We start from the raw sequence: 10,132 nt of genomic DNA on the forward strand, positions 1-10,132 counted from the left end.
AAATATTACATGCCAAGGAGAAATTAGTACAACATTAAGCAAATTTGAGTAATAGCAAATAGAGAATTGTGATGATAGAATCAAACATAATAAATGCTCCACAACAATGCATAAATTACAGAATATAATAACTATAATTATTATAAATAAATAATGTATGTCAATATTCTGCTGCTTTTATTGAAAACAATAGATCTAGGTGGAGCACTCTAGCTTATGAATTGTTGAAATCAACTGTGACTATTATCATTGTGAGTTATTGAAACCAGATGAGGGAGTGAATGTGTGTGTGTGTGTGTGTGTATGTGTGTTAGTGCAGGTAAGCTAGAAATAGGGAGAGGAGGATGGAGAAGAGATAATAAGGTAGAAAGCACAATTCCTTTAATATTTGAGTCAAAAGGGAAGAATACTTTTTTCTACAGGCCATTGAATTATGCAAGCAGTTTGATGGATCTTGTTTGCTCTCAGATTGATTTTCTTCACCAGCATTTAGAGTGGCTGCTATATTCATGTGACAGTTATGAGGAATAATTATGTATTTTCCTTACTGAACTGGTTTAAAATGTCACATCGCATGAAAGTTCCTACAGCTTGTCAAATTGTGTTAATTTTCTTCATTTTTCTAGTGAATGCTTTAAACTGTTCACCCAGCTCATGAATAGAGCAGCCCTTTTCTTCCTCCTCTGAAAAAACAGATGATTGTTTAACAGATATCATTAGATATGCAGAAAATAAAGCATTCTGGTATAGATGGAGGTCAATATATTTAAGAGGAAGTTGCATATTTTTTCTTTTTGCAAGTTTGTCCACCAATATGGTGCAACATTGACTTCAAGTAAATTTAATCCACCAACCTTGGTTGTTAATTTGTATTTTCACTGAATATTCGCTAATGTTTTTTATAGGATGCACTGTGATAGTAATTATTTAAGTGTTTCCAGGAATGGAGAGAAAGAAAACTAGAAATTGGAGGCAATGTGGCATAATGGTTAAGAACGAAGGCTGAGGAGTTAATCTGGATTTATGTCCCATCTCCACTGTTATTAGCTGTTTGATCCAAGCCAGTCAAATAATCTAAGACTCAGTTTCTTCATCTGTAAGATGGGGATAATAATACCAACCTCCAAAGAGACGTTACAAACACACACTCACACACACACACACACACACAAATGTGTATGCGTGTGTGTATATGATGATTATTTTAGCACAGTCAAAATAAAATTGCTAATATTTACTTAAACTAGTATAATTACTTTGGTTTTTCCTTTCAAAATGAAAATTGGAACATAACTTCTAATACTATTGGTAATAGAACCATCAGGCTTTCCAGATTCTCCGTGGGTTCCACTTACCCACATACCTATCCAACCTTATCTATAATTAATTCTCAGAATTAACCCCTCATTTCAGTGGGGCTGGCCTTATTAACCAGCCTTCCTCCACCTCTGCCATTCTTGTTTCTGTCTCATACTTTTTTCCAACTCCTTAGAAAGCCTTTCCTTCTCCCCATCAACCATCTCACTGCACAGATTTGATGGCATGACGTCTTGCTCGAAGTCTACTTACTTGTTCTTGAATACTGCTTGATATTGTTATTAAACATACTGATTCTTAAATTTTTGAAATCCCAATCATCATCCTTAACATTTGTAAATTTTTTACAATTATAACCATCATATTATAAATGATGAAAGATATCTCAAAAGTTTTTTTTTAACATTCCTCGAACACTCTTTGGAACCATCTTTCTTGCTTTCAATAAATTCTATTCTCTAGACACTCCAAATGAACCTTCACTTTGAAATGACACACTATTTTTATTTTTCTCAATCCAACTTACCAAATTCAAGTCCTTAATTCTTTTTTTGAGGTATTAGCATATGGGGGTGTGAAAAGGAGGGTAGAAAATGAGAAATTACTTAATGAGTAAATATATGTTATTCAGGTGATGGATGCTATACAAACCTTTGAGTTGACCACTACACAATCTATGCATGTACAAAATTGCATTTGTATCCCATAAATTTATACAAAACATGCATTAACGTATGACAATGAATTAATATATCACCAATTTGTAAGAACATATTTGGTTTTTAACAACTGTCTTCAAGGTACCCAGAATAGTGACTCACAGGAAGATTTCAAGCATCATCTTAAGTCAGGAGTTATTCTTGGCAAAGAGCTGTATTGACACCTCATTAACACGCCAAGGCGATGTGTGTCTGCTTTGTTCCTCTTTCAGTGCATCCTAGTTCCATAGGGTAAGATTTGAAGATAACAACTATTACTTCTTCAATGTCTAGAGAATAAGAAAGGAAAAACTAGGAATGAGAAAATATTATATTAGTATAGTAAATTTGAATTTTATAAATGAACATTTTAAATTCTTTAATTCTGACAATATGATAGACTAGACAGCCTGATACCATTCCACTAAATACAAATGTATATATACTTAAATTGTTGAAAATGTTAAATATACTTTTCATAAAAAGAGATAACTAAAAAATAGTAAAGTAAATATGAGGACCGAGAGAACTGTCAGCGGGTATCTGGAGAAAGAAGGATCCTTGGAGGCATACAGAGTTTCCTATTTCCATGAAGAGAGAAATAAGGGGGGCGGCGAAGTCTTGGAATTACAAAGGGTGAAAAGCCAAATGGGAGAATATCCTTAATAAAGTTTCAACTCAAAAAGAACTATAACCTCAGATAAAGGAATTGTTAAATCAAGTTTAGCATAAAGCTTCCTTCCTACATATTTTAAGTCAGGCCTAAAGGTGTTTCTATACATCTTGAACTATAACAAGTGAAGGTATAAACAGACCATAGCCTACACCTGTGCCAATCACCGAGTTCTGGCCAGTCAAATGTAGCCAACTGTTCGAACCTGTTCAAATAAAGCAAACACTGAGCTATAACCAATCCAGCTGTTTCTTTACCTCTCTTCAATTTTCTACATGTCACTTTCCTTTTTCTGTCCATAAATCTACCATGTGGCTGCTCTGGAGTCTCAGAGACTACTCTGGCTGTGAAGGCTGCCCAATTCATGAATCATTCATTAAATTAGTTAACAATTGTAACAATTTGGCTGAAGCTTTTCTTTTTCTTTCTTTTTTTTTTTTTTTTTTTTTTTGAGACAGAGTCTAGCTCTGTTGCCCAAGCTGGAGTGCAGTGGCGTGATATCAGCTCACTGCAACCTCCGCCTCCCGGGTTCATGCCATTCTCCTGCCTCAGCCTCCTGAGTAGCTGGGACTACAGGTGCCCGCCACCAGGCCCGGCTAATTTTTTGTATTTTTAGTAGAGGCGGGGTTTTGCAGTGTTAACCAGGATGGTCTCGATCTCCTGACCTTGTGATCAGCCCACCTTGGCCTCCCAAAGTGCTGGGATTACAGGCTTGAGCCACCGCGCCTGGCCCAGCTTTTCTTTTATTAGATAGCAATGAGGATGGGATCCGAAGTAGAGCTTCCAACGACCCTCAGGAGCGCTGAGCGACCAAGTGAAGTACCTACAGGACCCATTTGTGTTCACTGATCTATTGGAGCAGCTGGGGATTGTGGTAAGTTCTCTCTGGCATTTCAGAGCTCCACGGATTTGTGTTTTGAGCTCACTGAGTTTCTTTGAGCAAATTTGTGATCCAAACTGGTTTTGGAAGTCATGACAGAAACTGGACTGGGTCCAGGATCACATTTGACCCAGTAATTAACTGACTTGGATCCAGTTAGAGGCCTCGCACATCTGACTGGGTCAGAAAGAAACTGGTGGTAAATAGTAATATTGCAGGGGGTGTAAAAATTTGGCTTTTGAAAATTCAAAGGGATTTTTGTGTTCTACCTTTTTTTTTTTTCCACTTTTCTTGTGTGCTTAGGTAGGAGGAAAAAAATCATTAATTAAGTCAATCAAGGGAACCTAGAAACAAAACCAATATTTTAGGTAAAAAATGGGATCCTTAATTTTTGGAAAACTGAGTTCCCTCCAGCTTATACATGCGTAAGTGTTAGGCCCCAGAAGTAGTGAAGTCTTAGAGTAATAGTGAAATCTTACTAAAGATAACTTACAGTGGAATGTTCCAAATGAATAAAACTGCACTAAAGTGCGTTTGAAAATGAGGGCTCCCAAATTAGTCTCCTGTAGGCATGGCTATTGATATGCAGAAGCTTCTAAAAAGATTTCAGTATTTTTATTTAAAGACTTTACAAAAGGCAAATAAAAAACTTAAGCGACTAATTGATTTTAAAAAATTAAATTTGCTTTGCACTTTTTGCTGACAGCTGTGGGTGACAGGATTAGGCATGTATAGGACCACTGGACATGGGGAGCTTTTTTTCTTTCCAAAGCGGGAAACATGAGAGCTGATGGGACTGCTGGAAAAGATCCCTTTGCGACTGACAAGCAACTGCCTGAACTTTTGATTCAGCATTGCTGGGATGGGTGGGTCTTTCTCTGGCTTCCCTGAGCTCCTGCCTTCCCCACTCTGCCACAGGCAATGCTTTTCTCTCTCTCTCTCTCTTTTCCCTTTCTTACCTTTTCTGTTACTCCGTGCAACCATCTTCCCCAGAGACCACATGTTGAAACTCTTTTAATCCACTTTAAATGGATTAAAGATGACAGGGCCCATCTAGGGCCAAGTTTGAGACTTGCCAATTTGATATTGGGTGCTAAGCAGAGTGGCTAATGTCTATGTTTTGTCACATGTATTTTGCTCTGGCTGGAATGAAAAATGTATATTCAGTTCTGCTGGTTGGGGAGCAACTTGCAAAATTGAGAGGTTTTTGCCTGTGGTTCCAAGATTTTCCTTTATGACACGGCTTGGCGCCCAGAGCTATGGTGTGGTGAGCAGGGTCACTAAGGCCACTCAGGGAAAGAGAACCCAGAAACCTGACATGCCAGCAAAACGGTAAGAATTTCTTACCAGTCAGACTTCTGGCCTCTTTCTCTCTATGCAAACTGGCTGAATGAATGGTAAAAATCACTGTTTATCTCCTCTGTAAAATTTTGATTAATGGGAAAAAGGATTTGTGAGGCTAGTCATGAGCTGTAGTGAATCTGTTGTACTCTGTGCTATGAATGTCTTTCTGTATCTTTCTGTCAGAAAGAGGGGTGCCTTAGGATAGAACACGAGCTTAGGACCCCGTTACCCTGCTGTTCAAGATGGCCCAGAAAACTGGTCAATAAGGTTCTTGGGAGTTTGACCTTGTAACCACGTGGTGGTTACTTTCTCTTTGTCTCCACCATCCAGAGGACGGGAATTTTGGAGATCATGTTTTTACCGGTGGAAGGTATCCAAGTTACTGGCAGCAAATCCCCATGGGTCTGCAGCAACCTCGATTCTTGCTTCTCAGAAAAACGAATTCGACTGAGGGACATAAGGCAGAAAAAGAAACTGAGGCAAGTTTTGAGCAGGAGTGGAAGTTTTATATTTAAAAGGCTTTAGAACAGGAAAGGAAAGAAAGGAAGGTATGCTTGGAAAAAACCCAAGTGGGCAATGAGATCAAGTGTGGTATTTAGCCTTGACCCTAGGACTTATAGGCTGGCCCCTTTCCCATGATTCTTCCCTTAGGGTGGGCTGCCCACATGTGCAGGGCCCTCCTTACACTTGCGAGGTGAGCATGCGTAGGGTGTTTAGCAAGTTGTACGCATGACCATCTGAGGCTTTCTTCCCTTTTCTGGTGGAGTGTACCCGGAAGATCATACTCTGCCATTTTGTCTCTTAATGCACATGCCTGGGCTGACTTGCAAAATACCTGAGATTTTATTGGAAGCCCCTTTTTGCTTCTCCCTGGCATCTGCATTCAATTAACACTTTAATGCAACAGGTGTGGACCATCAGGAGATGGCCTCTCCCTGGTGCTGGCTGCCAATTTATCACTTTTAGAGAGGCCATGTGATCATTTCTGAGCCATCAACCAACATTCTTAGTGGGTGGGGAGAGCCCTCTCCTGCCCTGCTCATGCCTGTCTAACTGCTTATAACAATGTCATACTTAGCTCTAAAAATTATCTTGAGTAGTTAAAAACCATTGCAAGCTCAAAATGGACTGCTGTAGACTCCTTCTGGGAAGGGCAATGGAAACTGCCCAATGCTGTAACTCAGCAGCTAAGGCTTTGCCATTTTACAATGGCAGCTTGGGTTCAATCCTGGCTTAGGAAACGAGTACTTTTTGGTTGATATCTGTGTGACTTTATCATTTGTGGATTCTCTTCCCCTCCATGAACAACTTCTGGCTTCCCTTGTTGAATTTTCCTTTCTCTAAGCACCTGGGAGGTTATCTTTGGTAAAGTTCAAAAGCCAGAAATATTGACCATTTGGCTTAGCTAGAGTCTAGTAATAAATTTAAAAGGACTTTTTTTTTTTTTAGAGTGCTATGGTTATAAGTCAGTTTAATTAAAAGTGGGTATTCAAGCTCTAGGAGCCTGGGACTCCATGGGAAAAACAGAGGAAGTACCACCAACCCTGTTTTTGGAAGAACATCTGATTTCCACATGAAACCCCAGGAATTGGGACGAGATAGACCCCTCTCAAAATTTAAGGCTCTGCTCTGTTTTGCATTGCATTCTCTGCCATTTTTTACTTTGGGGGGTATCAGAAATTACTTCTCATTATGAGAACGCTTTGGTGTTCAATACCTAGGTAGGAAATATACTTTAGTAATGGCCAATGGCAGTTATGAGGGAATACTTTGCTTTTGCACCTTTGGATCAGAGAAGCATGCTCTTGGCCACCTAGAAAGTATGAAAGTGTCCCCACTCCTCACTGAGATAAGACTCCCATGGGAGATGGGTTAATCACAGAATGGGCTGATTGGCTGATTGACTTCGGGTTGCTTTGCAATAAAATGTATAGTAAAAGCATTGCACTGTCTTTTACTGATTGGCTGATTGACTTCGGGTTGCTTTGCAATAAAATGTATAGTAAAAGCATAGCATTTCCTTCTTTTTGGGGATCCAGGATGTGATATAAAAATGAGACTCTTAATTTTGGAGATCTATTTTTGCCTTCCAACTGTGCCTGCTTATTAGGCCCTAGAAACTGTATTGTTTTCCTACCCTGTTCCTCCAAGGACTCCACCCTAAAGTCAGTAATCCAATTAAGAAACTTACAAACTGGCAAATGAAAAATCCTACAACCACTAGATCTTCTGTCTGTATAGTTATATATGTGTTGTGTGTGTAATGTTTATATAAAAGAGCTCTAATTAATTGGCTTAAAGAAAAATAAGTGCTTAAATATTTTGAAAGAAAACTAAAAGCTATAATTCCTTTTAGTTTACGTGACTTTAATCATCTTTAGGAAATAAGAACAGCTTTAAAGATCATTGGTAAAACATAGACATTTGGTCCAAATTAGGCAGGTCAGATATTAGGTTTACTAAATGCTTTAAGGTTGTAAACTGCTTTCACTTTTGAAAATTGTTCAACTTGCCTGCTTTACAGCTAGGTAAGGCCTGGGGATGTGTGGGGTTAGCCATGCCCCCTAGCTATGCTGGAAGGAGTCAGACCTTATCTGCACTTCCGTCTGATGTCCTAGGCTCAATCCTAATACATAATTAAAATTGCTTACTGACCAGGTTTTTCACCAAAAGTTGCTAAGAGTTAACAGTATAACTTGTACTCGAGACTTCTAAAAAAATAGTTTTACATGCCAGGTGTGTGAAGAAAGTGAAATGTGCCTTTAGTAAAAGATTATAAGAAGACATGGGAATGTACATTTTTGCCTAGTTTAGAGGGTTAAAGGATTGTTTTAAATTAAATAGGATAGGAGAGAGATCATCATGGCAGATGGGAGGCAGGACTAGATTGCAGCTCCAGACCGAGCAGCTTGCGAAAGCTCGCATTGTAAATGTTGGCTCCGGATTGACTGCAAGAACAAACCAGCAATCCCGAGAGGACCCGCAGACCCTCTGAAGGAAGTGGACTGCTCCTACAGGACCCAAGAGACATCCCAAATACCGTGAGGGACCCAACTACAGAAGTGGAAAAGTGAGACCCTCCTCTCCTGAACACACACCCCCACTGGAGAAGCTGAAGGTCTGTTTGCAGAAGTTTCTGACCTTACCTGGAGCTGAGCCAATTTAGAAAGCCAAGTGAAATAAAGGGGTAGAGGAAGCAGCAGAAAGGCCCTGGGAGCTCGCTGGGTCCCCTGGCAGGCCATTCCTGCCTGGCACCACAGGGACCCATCAGGTGGGTGACCAGAGGATCAGGGGGTAAAACTACACAGGAAGAAGGAACTCTCTGGCTGAACTTTGTAACAATTTGAATGCGGAGAGAAGCTTCCTTGCCAGAACTTGGGGGAGGGTGCAAATCTGGTGTGCAGACTCCACAAGTTGCGGGGAGAACCAAGCCCTTTTCTCTCACAGCTGGGAGGTGGGTAGCCCGGGGCAAGTATTCAACCCCATTGTGCCCTCTGCCTGGAAACAGACTCTTGGCTGTCTGCGGAGGGAGCACAGTGGGAGTGAGACTGCCCTTCATTTTGCATGGGAGCTGGGTGAGGCCTGTGGCTGCCAGCTTTCCCCCACTTCCCGACAACCTGCATGACTCAGCAGAGCCAGCCATAATCCTGCTAGGTACACAGCTCCAGTGACCAGGGAGAGTCATCCTCATCCCCCACAGCAGCCACAACAAGACCCGCCCAAGGAGAGTCTGAGCTCAGACATGTATAGCTCTGCCCCCACCTGATGGTCCTTCCCTATACACCCTGGTAGCAGAAGACAAAGGGCATATACTCATGGGAGTTCTAGGGCCCTGCCCACTGCTGGTCCCTCTCTATACTTCTACAGCTGATGCTTTCTGGATAGCACCACCTCCTGGGAGGAGACCAACCAACACAAAAATAGAGTATTAAAACACCAAAGCTAAGAACCCTCACGGAGTCCATTGCACACTGCCTCCCACCCCCTCACCATTGTCTCCACCAGAACAGGCAGTGGTATCCATGGCTAAGAGACGGTTCACATCACAGGACTCTGTGCAGACATCCTCCAGTACTAGCCCAGAGCCGGATAGACTCACTGGGTGGTTAGACGCAGAAGAGAGACAATAATCACTGAAGTTAAGCTCACAGGAAGCCATATCCATAGGAAAAGGAGGAGAGTACTACATCAAGGGAACACCCCATGGGACAAAAGAATCTGAACGACAGCCTTCAGCCCTAGACCTTCCCTCTGACAGAGCCTACCCAAATGAGAAGGAACCAGAAAACCAACGCTGGTACTATGACAAAACAAATCTCTTCAACACTCCCAAAAAATCATCATACTAGTTCACCGGCAATGGATCCAAACAAAGAAGAAATCCATGATTTACTTGAAAAAGAATTCAGTAGGTTAGTTATTGAGCTAATCAGGGAGGGACCAGAGAAAGGCAAAGCCCAATGCGAGGAAATCCAAAAAAAAGATACAAAAGTAAAGGGAGAAATATTCAAGGAAGTAGATAGCTTAAAGAAAAAACAATTAAACATTCAGGAAAATTTGGAAACACTTTTAGAAGTGCTAAATGCTCTGGAAAGTCTCAGCAATAGAATTGAACAAGTAGAAGAAAGAAATTCAGAACGCGAAGACAAGGTCTTTGAATTAACCCAATCCAACAAAGACAAAGCACAAAGAATAAGAAAATATGAACCAAGTCTCCAAGAAGTCTGGGATTATGTTAAACTACCAAAATTAAGAATAATCAGTTTTCCTAACGAAGAAGAGAATTCCAAAAGCTTGGAAAACATATTTAGGGGAAGAATCAAGGAACACTTTCACAGCATTGCTAGAGATCTAGACATCCAAATACAAGAAGAACAAACAACACCTGGAAAATTAATCGTAAAAAGATCTTTGCCTAGGCACATTGTCATCATGCGAGGTGACAGTGTGCTGGTAGCCCTCACAGACCTTACTTACTCTCAGCACTTCCTCTGCCCGGGCTCCCACTTTGGCAGCACTTGAGGAGCCCTTCAGCCTGCCACTGCACTGTGGGAGCCCCTTCCTGGGCTGGCCCAGGCCAGAGCTGGCTCCCTCAGCTCATGGGGAGGTGTGGAGGGAGAGGTGCAGGTGGGAACCAGGGCTGCCTGTGGTGCTTGCGGGCCGGCGCAAGTTCCGGGTGGGTGTGGGCTTGGCAGGCCCTGCACTCGGAGTGGCCGGCCG

At 41.3% G+C, this 10,132-nt stretch overlaps 1 long non-coding RNA gene across 1 annotated transcript, besides 1 other annotated feature; it reads right to left on the reverse strand.

Annotated features, from left to right (window-relative positions):
* Positions 1-1,800: 1,800 nt before the first annotated feature.
* On the reverse strand, positions 1,801-8,225 carry LOC124901394 (uncharacterized). Its single transcript, XR_007059735.1, has 2 exons — positions 8,059-8,225; positions 1,801-2,305 (listed from the first exon to the last, which is right to left on the reverse strand). It is a non-coding gene; the product is annotated as an uncharacterized LOC124901394 (long non-coding RNA).
* Positions 7,803-9,002: an enhancer, noted in NCBI's record as "MED14-independent group 3 enhancer chr6:125444775-125445974 (GRCh37/hg19 assembly coordinates)". NCBI's record gives its function as "activates an origin of replication core promoter dependent on BRD2, BRD4, P300/CBP and CDK7 cofactors, and independent of MED14, by STARR-seq in HCT116 cells {active_cell/tissue: HCT116}" and the evidence as "EXISTENCE:reporter gene assay evidence [ECO:0000049][PMID:35650434]".

The sequence above is a fragment of the Homo sapiens genome, chromosome 6 (assembly GCF_000001405.40).
Source record: "Homo sapiens chromosome 6, GRCh38.p14 Primary Assembly".
In the NCBI taxonomy this organism is placed as follows: domain Eukaryota; kingdom Metazoa; phylum Chordata; class Mammalia; order Primates; family Hominidae; genus Homo; species Homo sapiens.